This window comes from Homo sapiens, chromosome 6 (genome assembly GCF_000001405.40).
Source record: "Homo sapiens chromosome 6, GRCh38.p14 Primary Assembly".
Lineage (NCBI taxonomy): Eukaryota > Metazoa > Chordata > Mammalia > Primates > Hominidae > Homo > Homo sapiens.
Genome location: NC_000006.12, coordinates 57,526,354 through 57,543,964, shown reverse-complemented (window position 1 = coordinate 57,543,964; position 17,611 = coordinate 57,526,354). Strand labels below are relative to the sequence as shown.

The 17,611-nt window shown below is 37.6% G+C and overlaps 1 protein-coding gene across 7 annotated transcripts in view; it reads right to left on the bottom strand.

The window, feature by feature from the left end:
* Positions 1-17,611, bottom strand: part of PRIM2 (DNA primase subunit 2) — a 425,311-nt gene that overhangs the window by 102,886 nt on the left and 304,814 nt on the right. For all 7 annotated transcript variants that reach the window (XM_047418987.1, NM_000947.5, XM_047418988.1 and 4 more), the window contains 2 exons: positions 11,482-11,554; positions 6,340-6,525 (listed from right to left, as the gene is read on the bottom strand). In XM_047418987.1, coding sequence (XP_047274943.1) covers positions 6,340-6,525; positions 11,482-11,554 — 259 coding nt within the window. The remainder of the gene's footprint in view (positions 1-6,339; positions 6,526-11,481; positions 11,555-17,611) is intronic.

Sequence of the window (17,611 nt, the reverse complement as noted above, 5' to 3'; positions counted from 1 at the left end):
AAAAATGTTTATAACAGAAATTATGTGCATTATAACACAAAAACTGCTTAACCTTAATAAAAGGTATCTAGAGACACAATACTTTAATATTTATACTTTGGATGACAGTTACAAACACTAATACAGGTGTAAATTATTTTAGAATACAGACAACACATTCCCCTCCAACATTAAGTATAACATTAGTTTTAAAAGCAAAGTGTTAAAAAAAAAAATGCCTGCAACAGGCACAGGTAAGTAAAGATGGGAGGAAGAGACAGATACCGATCAGGCAGTCAATTCAAGAACAGAGCTGCATTAGAAGTTAGGGTAAAGAAATATTTTGTTCCAGGCAGTATATCTAGGAAAGGTAGTTGTAGCTGCAGAGTTAGAGCTCAAAATTGCTGGAGATATTATACCAGTCTCTGCTGACTCAAAAGTACTGGCTAAGTACCCAAAATATTTGCTCAGACTCACATAGCAATGCATCTCAAATAAGTCACAATGAGGACACAAATATTAAGAGAAAGAAATCAGACATTATGATCATTTGGGAAACAATAGTACAGAAAAATTCCAGTTGAAATTGACTGTTACCACATCATTTTTCTTACACTGTTAGGACATAAGCTGTCCAAACAGAAGCTGTTATTTCAAATCATTCGAGCTGGGTTCAACACCCAAGTCCTTTAATTAGCACTATAAAAAATGTTTAACATCTTCTATAATCATCCTAAAAAATATCCTGGCCGGGCGCGGTGGCTCACGCCTGTAATCCCAGCACTTTGGGAGGCCGAGGCGGGCGGATCACGAGGTCAGGAGATCGAGACCATCCTGGCTAACACGGTGAAACCCCGTCTCTACTAAAAATACAAAAACTTAGCCGGGCGAGGTGGCGGGCGCCTGTAGTCCCAGCTACTCGGGAGGCTGAGGCAGGAGAATGGCGTGAAGCCCAGGGGGCGGAGCCTGCAGTGAGCCGAGATTGCGCCACTGCACTCCAGCCTGGGCGACAGCGAGACTCCGTCTCAAAAAAAAAAAAAAAAAAATCCTATAAGCAGTATTTTAAGCCAACAATTTTTATACCTCTTAAGAATATTTTTAATTGTATGTATCACTTAACAAATAGATACAATGGTTCAATTAGAGAATATTGTAATTTAGTATGCCTTAGTTTATTACATGTCATTGAAAAAACATGTAAACGATATAGCTGAGAAAAACATGAACATTTACAATACGGACTATGTAACAACAGAACACTAAATAGTCATAGAAAGTCAGAAATGTGTCTTATAATCCTTTAGTCAAAATAACATTTGCTGTAATTAATAAGCTAATAAAAATATAGACTATATGTTATCTAGAAAACTAAAAAATTATTTATTTTCTTTTATAAGAATTTTTGAAAAAAAGTTTGCATTGCAAAATAAAAATTCCATAATAAAAAAATTTAAACATACAAGTTAAAAAAAAGACTACTGATGATATTGCTACACAGGCTATTCCAGATGTACATAAAAGAAGGCAGGTCAATGAACAAGTGTCCAAGCCAAAGACTTAGTACTCAGGGTAAGTGTCCACATAGGCTGGTGCAGCTGGTTTTCCCTCTCTACTTTCCTTTTTCTTCTCCCAATTTACAGCACAAACCAAGCTAAAATGCTAGCTCAACTTCTCTCTTTTCACTTCAAAACAACCCAGCTCACCAGCCGGGCATGGTGGCAGTAGCTCACGCTTGTAATCCCAGCACTTTGGCAGGCCAAGGCGGGTGGATCACCTGAGGTCAGGAGTTCGAGACTAGCCTGAGCAACATGGCGAAACCCCGTCTCTACTAGAAATACAAAATTAGCTGAGCATGGTGGTGCATGCCTGTAATCCCAGCTACTTGGGAGGCTGAGGCAGGAGAATTGCTTGAACCCTGGGAGGCAGAGGTTGCAGTGAGCTAAGACTGCGCCACTGCACTCCAGCCTGGGTGACAGAGCGAGACTCTGTCTCAAAAAAAAAAAAAAAAAAAACCAAAACACAACAACCACCCAGCTCTTCACTGGGCCATGAGATGCCCAGACATTTGGTCAAACATTACAGTGGGGGTGTCTGAGGGGGTGTTTCTGGATATGATTAACATTTGAATTGGTAGTTAAAGTAAAGCAGATTGCCCTACCTAATGTGAATAATTCTCAACCAATCAGTTGAAAGCCTAAACAGAACAAAAAGCCTGACCTCCTGTGAGTAAGAGGGAATTTCCTTCTGTCTGACTTCCTTAAACTGGGGCCTCATTTTTTAAACTGAAACATTGCCTCTTCCTGGGTCTCAAAGCTGTTGGCATTTGAGCTGGAACTAAAGCTGACCCTTGAACAATGCAGAGATTATAGGCAACAACCTCCACCCCTCACCCCATACAGTTAAAATCCATGTATAACTTTTTATTCCCCAAACACTTAACAACTAAAACCCTACTGTTGACCATAAGCCTTACTGATAACATAAACAGCTGATTAACACATATTTTGAATATTACATATATTCACTGTATTATATATATTCACTGTAACCTCACAATAAAGTAAATTGGAGAAAAAAAAATTAAGAAAGTCATAATAGGCCAGGCACAGTAGCTCACACCTGTAATCCCAGCACTTTGGGAGGCTGAGGCAGGAAGATCACCTGAGGTCAGGAGTTCAAGACCAGCCTAGCCAAAATGGTGAAACCCCGTCTCAACTAAAAATACAAAAAGAGAAAGAAAGTCATAAGAAAATACATTTACAGTACTGTACTACATTGATCGATACCGTAAGTTTACATTATCTATTTACAAGATGAACCATCTGTCTGACATGGCACTCAACCTTAGCTGGAGACCTCAATCTATATTACATATCAAGCAATTCAACTGTTTCTTGTAATATCATTACTTTTCTCTGGTTTGGGGAAGCATTTCCAGCATTACTAGTGACACTTCCTATGAGCCCAATGGTGTTATTCAAGGTTTATGATATTGCACTGAACACGATGAAAAATACCCGAGAACTGTGAGAGATCACTTTACTGTAATATACAATTTACTGTGCAAGCTGCTTACGCTGAGATGATTAGCATCACAGAGCGTTTTAAGCAGATACTTGCAACACTTATAGGCTCACCACAGTAGCAACAGGGTGGGGCTATTAAATTACTATAGTAGCACAGAATGTGCTACAGTTAATTTTATGTAGGTTATAATACTGCATCTTTACATTTGTTTACATTTCTCTCTACTGGGAATAGCACCATGTATGGTCTGTACATTTGTGTGCATGTGTTTTGATAAATTTTAACTTTTTGCAATAGATTTCTGTATATCTCATGTTAGTAAATAAGACTAGTATATATTTTATACATTCATATATACTTAATTTTTTCTTACCTTTTTCGATATTTCTAGGCTATGTGGTTCATCTGCAAGTTTTTTCAAATTGTTGCATATCACCAGAAAATTTTCCAATATACTTATTGAAAAAAATCCACATATAAGTGGACCCATGCAGTTCACACCTGTGTATTTCAAGCATCAACTTGTACACTATCATTCTTCTGGTTTTCAGGCTTTTGGATTCAGACTAGAACTACAACATTGGCTCTCCCAGGTCTTCAACTTGCCAACTGCGGATCTTGAGACTTGTCAACTTCCATAACCCCCATCTCTCTCTCTCTCTCTCGCTGTGTGTGTGTGTGAGTGTGTGTATGTCTGTGTGCATGTGTGTGTAAGTGACAGAAAGACAGACAGACACACAGTTCCATTTCTGTGGAGAACCCTAATACATCTACCTACTTAAGACATCAAATTCCTAATAAAAAGATCAAAAACTGTTTTAAGTTAATAATACATGATGTCAATGGCAGAGCAAAATTCTCACATCGCTTGAAGAGGGTCTAATTTAAAACCTTTCTGAACAGTCATTTCACAGCATGCATTAAAACTTTAAAATTATGTGTAGTTTCCTTTTTTTTTTTTTCTTGAGATGGAGTCTCACTCTGTCACTCAGGCTGGAGTGCAGTGGTGCGATCTCAGCTCACTGCAACCTCCACCTCCCAGGTTCAAGTGATTCTCCTGACTCAGCCACCCCAGTAGCTGGGATTGCAGGCACCTGCCACCACGCCCAGTTAATTTTTGTAGTTTTAGTAGAGACGGTATTTCACCATGTTGGCCAGGCTGGTCTTGAACTCCTGACCTCAGGCGACCCACCTGCCTCGGTCTCCCAAAATGCTAGGATTACAGGCATGAGCCAACCTGCCCAGCTGTGTGTAGTTTCTTATAATTTTATTTCCTGGTGAATGCATATATATATATATATACACACACACACACACACACACACACACACACACACACACACACAAAGAATATAATCAAAACTATAATTGACACACACACACACACACACAAAGAATATAATCAAAACTATAATCAATTATCTATGTCCACAGGATATTAGCTATTTGACTCTGTTATTTATATTAGTAACATATATAACAGAGTCAAATTAGACACAACCAAATGTCCAACAATAGGAGAATGATTAAACAAATTACATCACTTTCAAAGGATATATTATGTAACTCATTAAGATATTTTCAATGATTGGTCAAAAATATGCAAATATAATCATAATATAATGACAATTTTTAGAATGGTGAAAAGCAGTGGTGTTTAGTTCTGTAGACTAGAGTAAAAGGCTTCAATGTTGACAGTAATTATTTCAAATTGGAGGATAACAGGTGAATTTTTCTGTATTTTTCATATTTTCTATAATTAGAATAAATTACCTTTAAAAGAAATATAAAAAACATTATCCAAAACTGCTCAAAGAAAATCCTATTAAGTGACTTCATTAAGATTCTATGGATAATTGTCGATGAAGACAGTTTTTAAAACAAATCTGAAAAAACTATAACAGCTTTTTATAATGTTATTTTTAAAAATCTATGCTTTTTAATAAAGTATATAGCTACACACACGAGCTGAATTGTGATCTCCTAAAAGTCATTTGTTGAACCCCTAACTCCAAATCCAACTGTAATTGGAGATAGGGCCTCTAAAGGGATAATTAAGGTTAAATGAGATCAGATGAGTGTGGGGCCCTAATCCCGTAAGACTAGTGTATTTATAAGAAAAGGAAGAAACACCAGGGATGCACATGCACAGAGAAAAGGCCATGTGAGCACAAAGCAAGAAGAAGGCCACATGTAAGCCAAGGAGACAGGCCTCAGGAGAAACCAAATCTGCCAATACTTGGATCTTGGACTTCCAGCCTCCAGAAGTGTGAGGAAATAAACTTCCGTTTTTTAAGCCAACCAGTCTGCGGTATTTTATTTTGGCAATGCTTGCAAACTAACATAAAACATAATAAAGTACTATAAAATGTACCTGGTAAATATTCTTTCTTCCATAATTTACTTTTAGGAGGCAGCAAATCAAGAAATAAACAGTAAAAAATGTTCTTCATACCACAGTGTCATGGCATAGAAGGGGCAAGAAATCATATTTCCAAGTAAAATGTTATTAGCTGGCACTATTAAAGAGAAACAAGGCATAGGATTGGGAATATAAGCACTGCAGATAGGGTTTTTAAAAAGTTGTTCAGGTTTATAGTAATTATTGTCCATCTAAAAATGTTCTATAGGCTAGGTATGATGACTCAGGCTCACAGCTGTAATCACAACCCTTCAGCACGCCAAGGCAGGAGAACAGCTTGAGCCCAAGAGTTTGAGACCAACCTGGGCAACATAGTGAGACTCCATCTCTACAAAAAATTAAAAAAAGAAAAAAATTAGCCAGGCATAATGGTGTCCACCTGTGGCCCTAGCTACTGGGAAGAATGAAGTGGGAGGATCACTTGAGCCCAAAGGTCGAGGCTGCAGTGAGCCATGATTGCACCATTGCACTCCAGCCCAGCCTGGGCAACAGAAGAAGACCCTGTCTCGAAAAAAAAAAACAAAAGTTTATAAAAGATTCTGCATAACATAATAGAAAATATTTTAAATTGTTCCATTTTATTTGTTCATGATATCTCCCAGTGCTCAAAACATTATGTGCATATGTATAGACACACATACATTCCTACAGATATATAACTCTGAAAGCAATTTCAGTCTTATAATTACTACTGGCAGTATACCTACAAATGAAAACATTCCTTCCCCAATCTTTTGTATTAGATTAATATGCAAGTTTCTTTTTATCTAAACTGAATTGTCAACACATTTATCCTTTTAGAATTTTCAACTACATTGCAGGGAGCATATTTAAAAAAAAAAATAGACCGTTTCATTTTCAGACCAAATTAAAATATCAGGTACCACTCTGATATTTTTTTTCAAAATTACCTTGTCTGGATCCATCTTTCCTTTGATAAATTCTTGCTTCCAGAACTGCAATGCCTGTTCCAAAGTTAAACCAATGCCCTTCAGAAATAGGCCATACTGCATTCGGCCTCCATGACGAAGATGGTGATTTTCCCGCAAGGCTTTATGTAACTGACGCATGCAAGGTGGGAAGGATTTGGTAGAAAGCTACAAGAAAAAAATAGTAGAGTTTTAAGTTAAGTGGAAGACTTATCAGGTCCCCTGTAATATTTGTTATGGTTCCTAATTCAATTTAATTGGAATAAAAAAAAAACACCATAAGAAAGTGCCACTTTATTACTGTGGTTACAGATGACTCTTATCTGTATAAGATGTTTCTTATTAACATTTTTTACTGGTTACAAGTTAATATAATATTTTAGATACTTTGGATTAAATAACATACTATTAAAATTTATTTTACCTGTTTTTTTAATTTAATTAAACTTTTTCTTTGAAGTTAACTACAGACTCCCATACAGTTACAAGAAATAATACAAAGAGATAGCATATATCCAAATTCCCCCAAAGATAAAATCATATACAACTACAGTAGATTATCACAAACAGGATACTGACATTGATACAATCCACTAGTCTTATTCAGGTTTCCTCAGTTGTACTCATGCACTTACTTCCGTATTAAATTTTATACAGTTTTGTCACATGTAGGTTCATACATCCACCACCACAGTCAACATGCAGAACAGTTCTGTCACCACAAGGATCTCTCATGATTTTATAACCACCCCCATCTATCTTTTGCACCCTGCTCCCCTCCCTCAGCTCCCTAATCTTTGGCAACCACTGATCTGGTTCTCCATCTCTATAATTTTGTCATTTCAAGAGTATAATAGAATCATATAATATGTATTGTTTTGAGATTGTCATTTTTTACTCAGCAGAATTCCCTCAAGATTCATCTAAGTTGTATATAAGCTCATTTCTTTATTACTAATAGTTTTCCATGGTATGAATGTATCATAATTTATTTATTCACTCATTGAAGAACACTTGGGTTGTTTCCAGTTTGGGCTATTTCAAATGAAGGTATTATAAGCATTCTTGAAGAGGTTTTTATGTGAACATAAGATTTCATTTCCCTGAGATAAAAGTACAATTGCTGAATAGCAGATGAACTTTTAAGATAACTCAAATACAAAGCAGAATACAAAAATAAGAGAAACTTCTCATAAGGAAAATTCAAATAAATATGTTAAAGAAACCAAGTTAAAAGGAACAAAGTGTAGTTAGTGCCTTAGTGCCAAAAATGAAATATCATTGCCTACTTTAATTTTTCACTTACGGTTTCAATTGCATTCTCTATGACTTCCTTAAATATCCTCCCAAGACTTAAATTCTTACTCCCTCACATATGCCTTAGCAAGTTCACTTCATCTATAAGAAAGAGCAGGTCTCACTTTGCTTGACTTTGCTGCTCCCTCTAGTGACCATCTAGTTTCTCTTCATTCTTTTACAGTAACAACTTCTGATTTTTTCCATCCCCAGTCTAGTTCATTCAGACCTATATCCTCCCTTGGTTCTATATCTAGAACTAACTAGAAAGCCTTTCAGCTCCTTTTCATGAGACCATTTTTGTTCCTTCATATTAATATCTGATTTTTTTCTAAACATTGTTCTAATCCATACAATCAATATTCAACATCCTTAGTATGAACATGCAAGGTTTCCTCAATATCTGGTAACTACCTTTCTTTTTTTTTCTTCTTTTTTTATTTTTTTGAGATGGAATCTCACTCTGTTGCCCAGGCTGGAGTGCAGCAGTGCCATCTCGGCTCACTATAACCTCTGCCTCCCAGGTTCATGCGATTCTCCTGCTTCAGCCTCCTGAGTAGCAGGGATTACAGGTGCCTGCCAACATGCCCAGCTGATTTTGGTATTTGTAGTAGAGACAGAGTTTCACCATGTTGGCCACGCTGGTCTCGAACTCCTGACCTCAGGTGATCCTCCCACCTTGGCCTCTCAAAGTGCTAGGATTGCAGATGGCATGACCCACTGCGCCTGGCCAATAACTACTTTTCAATTATACATAACAGAACAATTATTTATTAAGTGTTCTGGAAAATAAGCTAGGACCTAATTGTCCCCTTTAATTCAGTTAAGGAAAAAGACACCACAATTATTATATTCACTACTATGTAAGTTAAACACATGAAATAAATGATAAAATGAGGGCTCCAACAAGGGCAAAACTTGAGCACCACAGAAGCACTGTGACAGGGAGCCTGGGAAAGCCCAGTATATTATTACTACACCAAAATGAGTCCTCGGCTCCAGTCCACTGGATTATTCAATATCCCATGACCACGCAGTCATGCTCTGTAGCTTCTCATTTTTCTCACTCTGCTAGCCCTGCCTGGTGCACCCTTCTCATGCACATGCCATGTAGCCAAAGCCAAGTCATCATTCAAGACCCACCTCAATTTCTATTTCTTTTGGCACATTCCTTGATTACTTCTTATTCATTCAATCAACAAATATTTATTTAACACTTACTATGTGTACAGCCCTGGGGAACCAGTAGTGAACAAAGAAGTCAAAAACCCTGTCCTCGAAGAGCTTATTTTTAATAGGAGGAGACGGACAATGAATACAGACATTAAAAAGATAACATCTGATGCCAAAACACTGGAAATGAAATAGAGAAATGAAATCAAGTGTGATTAGGGGAGAGGTACTTCAATTTGGGTGGCCAGGGAAGCCTTTTTGAGGAGATGGCATTTCAAGTAAGACAAAGTAAGTTGGATTCTAGTGAAATGAAGATCCTGAGAAGGAATAAATGTGGTGTGCTAAAAGAGAGAATAAGATCCATGTGACCAGAGCAAGTGAATGAGCCGGAATGGAGCAGAAGATAAAATAGAAATGATGAGCACATATGGCTTCAGAGGCCACAACATGAGTTTGGATTTAAGTCTACATATGATAAAAACCCACTAGAGGGTTCTGACCAGAAGACTGATGTGATTCAATACACAAAGAGAACTCTGGCTGTTATGTAGTGAAAAGACTATATGAGAGTAAGAATGGAAGCAGGAGGGATACTTAAGAGGTGTGGGCAGTAGTCCAAATAATAAAAATTAAAAAGATAGTGTCTGGCTATATACAGATAGAAAAATGATCATGGAAAACAAGCAAACAAAAGAATCATAAGTCCAGGATAGGGGATAAATTATCAACTTGGATCTTGCAGAGGCCAAGAACAATAACAACAATAGCGCCAGTACACAAGACCATTAGCTAGGTGTTCAAATCATCAACGAATACAGGTGTGGGGGGAGGGGGTCGAATAGCAACAAAGGAGGTATCAGATGATATAATAAGATCACAAGGGCTTTAAAGGAGCTGGAGCTGTAACAATGGAAGGCAGAGAAATGCGGACCAAGAAAGACACTCACCGCATACCTATATATGAACTCGGGGGGAAAGTTGTCTCTACTTGAAGAGGCCCACAGCGGAAACAGCATTGAGAAAGCCAGATTTGTTAGAAGAAAAAACTAAAGAAAACATTTGGAGAAGAGTTGCAAATACCAAGGGATATGCAAATGACATGCTGTTGTGAAGATCAAACAATATAGATACAGAGTTAGGAGGCAGTCCAGAAAAAGATACATCTGTATTACTCACCACGGGGTCTCAGGCACAGACCCATGACAGGATCATCATCATAGCACTTAACATTATATTGCTCATTTATTATTTATTATGTTGTCCCTCTCCCTCATGTAAGGTCCATGAAGGCAGGGACATTTTCTGTTTTCCTCACTTCTGTATCCACAGCACAATGGCTGCTACATAACTGATGGGCTCAATACATATCCATTAAATGAATTAATATTTCTATGAACTCCAACAGTATCCAATGAAATTCACATTTGCTTGTGAATAGGGAAACATCTAGCTAGAACTAAGAACAGAATTAACCTCCAACCATTCACATTATATAAGCACAAATCACATGAGTGGAAGTGAGAAAGTGGACTGTTAGAGATAAGTGTTTAATAAAAAAATTAAAAGATGGGACATCTTTGAGAACAAATTTCAAATCAACAAATCAACTGTGTAAAGTAGGCAACCCTACTGTTATTTCTAGACATATTAACTGCAAGTACTTTTTTATAATTTTTCAAATGGAAGACGACCTATTCATTCTGATCCAAACTCACGTTCTTTCTCTACTAGTCTTATTACAGTTCTTGTTTCCAAGCATTAAAATCCCTGTGTATTTTTAATTTATTGTGAATAATTTGGTAGTTGTCTAACCCAAGATTATTTATGGCTGGCTTATTTTCCCTTTGTGTATGGAGTGCAAATGCTGTTATGTATTAAAGAGAAATTCTACAAGTATGGCAAAGTACGCTACCCTATGGAACCACAAAGTCAAATGATGCTAAAATAAGCTATCTATTAATCTCGTAGCCTACACTGGATGATGAATTGTCCTCTCCCCCTGAAATTCATATATCAAGTCCTGACCTCTAGTAGCTCCAAATGTGACTATATTTAGAGATGGGGCCTTTAAAGAACTCATTAAGATTAAAGGAGGCCATGGGGGTGGGGCCCTGGTCTCACATACTCAGTGTCCTTACAAAAAGAAGAGACACCAGGGATGTATGCAAGCAGTGGGAAAACCACAGGAGAACACAAGGAGAAGGCAGCTATCTGTGAGACAAGAAAGGCCCTGGAAGAAATCAAACCTACTATCCCTTTGATCTTGGATTTCGAGCCTCTAGACTGTGAGAAAATAAATTTCCGTTGTCATGACAACCCTAACAAACTAATACACTTAGTGTTTTCCATTTCCCCTTTATTAAATGTATACACTATTTAAATGTAAACACAAACTCCATTTAGCTATTTAAAAGAATTCCTGTTTGGAATAGTTGATTAAATTCTGTTTTCATAAAAGTACAGATAATTTTCTGATTAAATGATTTTCTTATGATTTTTTTTAAAATCATCTAAGTGGGACATGGGATTTTCTTTAAAATTAATCAGCAAGCAGTGAAATAATATTCTATCTCCTCACCCAAAAGTCTTTGATTTAAGAAAATCTATGTTCCCTCCATTGATAAAGTTCTAAGTTTAAAATAATGTTCTACTTACCAAATCAATCTGATCTAAAGAAATCTTCCCAACATTTCCCTGGGTACTGTAATCTTGGCCAGTGTAGGAATGACTTTAAAAAAAGAAAAAAAAATATTAAAACAGATTCATAAAATACTTTTGATCCCTTCGAAGGAAATTTTTTAAATTCTGAAAATGATTAAAATAAGAAAGCATTTTACATGTAAACCTTAGCAGAAACATAGCCAAGTGTTTTAAACGTATTTAATGAAATTAATTTAAGTAACTTACCCCAAAATAATAGAAAAATATAGTAACAGTCTGAACCTCCTGACTCCTAGTCTAGAGCACCACTTCCATTTTTTTAGAAGCATAATCCAAGTTGTTGTTAAAGTTCAAACCTCTACCATTTATCCTTTATTAACAGCACGACAACATAGCAAAAAAGCAGCTGGAACTTAAATTGGGAATCATCACTTAAAAGTAGTAGGTGAGCAAGTTACTTAGTTACTCTCTGTATGCCAGGTGCCTTATTGACTAATGGCGATAATAATGCCTGCTTTGCAGTGTTGATAGGAGGTCTGAATTGTAAGAATTTTTGTTAAAGAGCCTGACATAAAGCAATCACTGTTTATTAAAATAAATAATATCTGAATAGCATTTTACAGTGTACAAAGAGTCTTCAATAGCCTCTAATTAGATCCTTGCAACCCCCTGAAAGAGCGTTTCTGTATATCATCTGATGAATGGAGGCTTGGAGGAGTTAGAAACTTGTTAGGATCAGAAAGCAAGTCAGCAGTGCAGTGGGAACTCAAACCTTTTGATTCCTAATTCCCCATTTTTTCACCGCACCATATCATCCTCTTCCCTATAATAAATTTTCCTGCATGATTATCTTCAAATTAGGAAACATAACTTGGTATATACTACCTTAAGCCACCCACCTCAGTAATGTTTGACCTCCTTCACACAACACACTACTCATGCCCAACTCCATGAACACAGACTCAGGTGCATGCAGGTGTGACATAGCAAAAAACAGCTGCTAGATTACATAGAAATTCACAATCAAACCAAAGATTATACAAATACCACAACTAAAGGGAAACCCTGGAGTGAAGAGTCATTATGATCATAAAGAATTCCACCTGGGCAACAGAGTAAGACTCTGTCTCTACAAATAATAAAAATTAAAACAAAAACAAAAACCTGGGCATGGTGGCATGCCTGTAGTCCTAGCTACTCTGGAGGCTGAGGTAAGAGGATTGCTTGAGCCAGGGAGATCAAGGCTGTAGTGAGCCATGATCATGCCTGAGCATTCGAGCCTAGGCTATAGAGCGAGACTGTCTCAAAAAAACAAACAAACAAACAAAAAATCCAGATACTACTTTCTATCTGCTCAGTTACAGATTCTACCTGCTGAACCACATATACGCTCAAGATGCTCTGTAGACAGGCTGTTGTTTCCATAATCAATCAATTTTACTGATTAAACAATGGGTATGGATTATGAAGCAAAACCACAATATAGCTGGCTCACACCTGTCATCCCAGCACTTTGGGAGGCTGAGGCAGGCAGATGGCTTGAGCCCAGAAGTTCAAGACTAGCCTAAGCAACATGACAAAACCTTGTCTCTACAAAAAATACAAAAATTGGCCAGGCATGGTGGTGTGTGCCTGTAGTACCAGCTACTCAGGAGGCTGAAGCAGTAGGATGGCTTGAGCCCAGGAGGTGTAGGATGCAGTGAGCTGAGATCATGCTCCACCCTGGGTGACAGAGTAAGACCTTGTATCAAAAAAAAGAAAAAAAAAAAGGTACAGATTTCCCCTCCCTGCAAGTCCTCCTCCTACAGGCTAAGAAGGACCTGAGAATTACTCTGAGAGCAGGATGAGTAGACTAATACTGAGGGAAACCAGAAGATGCCACCCCCCAAAATATGAAGGATTATTGAGTGAAGGCAATTTAAGAAGAAGCAGATTCAGGAAAGTTCTCCGCCCTCCCTCTATCTGCCTAAAAGCAAAACACAGATTCACAAAGACAAAAGTCATCCTGCCCACCTTTTCCCAGTGAGAACAAAGGTTGATCAGTGAAGATAACTTCAGATTCTTATTATGTGGAGATGATCCCAGAGGAAACTATATGAACAAGCTTTACCAACTGGTCTTTATCTCCCATTTATTTGCCTTCTCACAAGTTGCTGCCACCAGAGACTCAAAGTCCTTTTCCTTTGCCATGTCACTTCTCTAGAAATTTATTGCTCTTAGTTGAATTTGCTATGTAAACTTGAATTGAAAGCACCTTTTTTTGAGAACCACTTACTTTCTGGATGTTTTCCATGCATATGTCTTCCATAGCACACACATGTGCTATGGTTTGCATATCTGTCCCTTCCAAAACTCATGTTTAAATTTAATCCCTAATGTGGCAGTATTGAGAGGTGGGATTAATGGATAGAGGATTAATAGATTAATGAGTTGCCATGGGAAGGAAACTTGTGGCTTTACAAAATGAGGAAGAGAGACTTGAGCTGGCATGTTAACACACTCAGCCCCCTCGCCATGTGATACCCTACACCACCTCAAGACTCTTCAGAGAGTCCCCACCAGCAAGAAAGCTCTCACCAGGTACACCCTCTGGACCTTGGACTTCCCATCCTCCATAAGTGTAAGAAATAAATTTGTTTCCTTTATAAATTACCCAATTTCAGATATTCTGTTATAAGCACAGAAAACTGATACAAAATGTTAATAAACTTGTTTGTTTTTCTCCTATTAATCTGTCTTTTGTTACATGGGTCCTTTCCAACCTATAGGGCTTGAAGAAAAAATTATTCTTCTTCCCCTATGAGACCATATCCTAAAACACATCTCCTCTTGTATTATTTTCCCTTGCCTTGAATTATCTTTCCCTTGAGTGACACCTTTCTGACAATGTGTTATTGGATTCTATGCATTCCATTAATTGCAGTAGCACAATGGCATATAAAACTCATGCAAAGTTAAATTGATAGCTGCCATTTAACTTTAATGTTTTAGACTTTAGTACACAGCATAACCAGATAATTGTTTCAGTGAAATCTCAGGAATAAAAATGTTATTTCTTTTTCCAACATGTCTTACAGTAGAGCAAAGAGGCAGCATGGGGCATTGGGAATGGCAGTAGGCTAGGATTATGAAGACACGTTCTTGGTTTTTTGTTTTTTTTTTTTGAGACGGAGTCTCGCTCTGTCTGTCGCCCAGGCTGGAGTGCAGTGGGGCGATCTCCGCTCACTGCAAGCTCTGCCTCCCGGGTTCACGCCATTCTCCTGCCTCAGCCTCCCAAGTAGCTGGGAATACAGGCGCCCACCACCACGACCGGCTAATTTTTGTATTTTTGAGTAGTGACGGGGTTTCACCGTGTTAGCTAGGATGGTGTTGATCTCCTGACCTCGTAATCCACCCACCTCGGCCTCCCAAAGTGCTGGGATTACAGGCGTGAGCCACTGCGCCCGGCTGGTTTTTGTTCTTTAAATACCAGTTCTGCAAACTGGGACAAGTCACTTAACCATTCTGATTTGCATCATCCTTATTTGTAAAATGGCACTAATAATGCCAGCCCTGCCTAATTAACAGAAATACTGGGGAAATCAAATGAAATAATGTATCCAAAGTGCTAATTAAAATCAGTAAAGCATACTCCAGCACAAACAGCAATTGCAGTCTTGACCAATAAGTACAGAAATAACAGGATTGTAAGAGAGACAACAGCATGATCCTGTAGAGGAGCCATCATCCAGCTGGGAAGTACTAGGCCATGCCATTGACCCTTATAAGTCTCAGCTTCTTAGTCTATCAGCTGAAGGTGGTGATTACAATGATGTAACAGGATTGTTCAGATCAAATAAACAAATATGAAAGGCCTCTATAAATGGTAAAATGATGTACAAACAGAATTATAGTTATTGAGTAAATGAAGCCAAATGATTACTATGCCACAAGGAAGTTGTTCTCAGCCCAGATTAATGCATACTATACTAAGTACAAAGAGAAGACATATAAAGAGGACATATACATTTGCCTAAATGACAGTATAAAATGCTTGTTCTTCCACACCTCACTAGAATATACAAAAGGGCTAAATTTCAAGGAAAAAAAGAAAAAAAGCAAGAGAATGCTAGCAACGATGAATGCAAAGACTTTATTGGTATAAATGCCTACAGAGAGAATATAAGTAGACTTAAACTGTGTAGACATCAAACTTCTAAAAATATTTTTGGCCAGTCCTAGTGGCTCATGCCTCTATTCCCAGCAGTTTGGGAAGCCAAGGCAGGAGGACCGCTTGAGCCCAGGAGTTAGAGATCAGCCTGGGCAACATATAGCAAGACATCATCGCTATAAAAAAAAAAAAAAAAATTAGCTGGGTGTGGTGGCACGCACCTGTAGTCTCAGCTACTCAGGAGGCTGAGGTGGGAGGATTGCTTGAGCCTAGGAGTTTGAGGTTGCAGTGATTTATGATCACATCACTGCAGTCCAGCCTGGATGAGGGATTGAGACCCTGTCTCAAAAATAAAAAATAAAAACTCTATAAAAAAGACATACACGTAATAGAAAGAAGGCCACCAGCCTAGTGTGGGCAAGTATGGAACCCATGGGGGTGGGGATGAATATGATAGAAATGAGGATGTTAAGTATCAGAATTAGGAATGACATCTCTCCTCTACTCATCTATAATCAGAAAGGCTTACTTATGTCTGCATTAGAGGAGGTGATAATAAACATCACAGCTACTTAAACCTATTTGAACTAGTTAAGGATAGCTGGGGGGCAGGGGGATTGTTAGATACAACACAAGAAAGGCAGATGGTGAGAAGACTGTATCCCATGCTCTGCAGGCAGTGAAAAATCATGAAAAGATGTGAGGCAAGAACTGACATAATCCAGTTTACACTTGAGAAACAAAGCAGTGTGGGGAAATAATTAGAAAGGGGAGGGACTGGCAACAAACTGGAAGAATACTGTAGGCAATGTTACATCCAGGCGAGGAAAGGTGAGAGCCTGAGTAAAGTAGTGGTAACGATGGAGAAAGGAAGGCAATAGATGGGTTCAGGAAATTTTCTGGAAAAGAATGGATATGCTTTGATGAAGGAGGTAGAAAAGTCAAGAATAACAAATCAGTTTCTAGCCTGAGTGACTGAGTGCTTCCAAGCCAAGATTTCACTTTCCACAAGATAAAAACTATTTAGCCTAAACAATAAAACTGTAATTCAGGAATAAACTTACAAAGAAATTATGAAAATACAAGTTTTGATAATAAATTTTCTTCACTCATCTTTACAATGTTTCCAGGTGAATGGTTTTTTCCTCATAATAATGAAACATTGACAGAAGCTCAAAAATCAAGGTAGAAGAAAAACAAATAATGCTGCCATAAAATAAAAAAACCCTTAAAAGCAATTCACATTGGCTCATGAAACTGGCTTTTACCTGGAAGTGCCAAAAGATGGTTCTAAAGGAGAATCCTAACAGGTAGCCAGGAAAGAGACGTGCCCTTCTCCATTCAGAGCTCAGCGCCAGCTTTCTATCATACTGCTGCCAAATAAATGAAGCTGCTATATTAATGAATTGTCAAAATATATTCTTATTTTCATGATTTGAAAATGATCGATTTTATGAGGGAACATGTCTTAGTAATTATATTGGGAAAACACAGAAAGTCATTTTTAAATGCAAAAAACATTTCTAATTGCTTCAACATCTATAAACACATGCAAACCCAGCAGAAAACAGTTTTCTGTCCATTTAAAATACTCACAGCTTTATTTTGAGAGACATTCACTGTCACCAACATAGTTTTTTAAGTAAGGGATTCAGTAAGCATAAAAGCTTTCCTACTCCTAATGTTTCATAAAAGAATAAAGTGAGATATAACACAAATACCATTTTTTTCAATATAGAAGACCGAAGAACATTTTAATGGGTCACAAAATTCAAATTATGTCATTAACGACTATTTTGCCAAATATAAAGGGCAATGTTTGATTAATCAGAGAATCTTGAAAAATCTGAATTTGATTTCCTTAATTCTCAGTTTAGCCACTAATTTTCCACAAGTTTAAAAGGAAAAAGACAAGGCAAGCTATGCATCACTTTTTTTCATCCATAAATATGTGTGGTAATGGATAAGGAATTG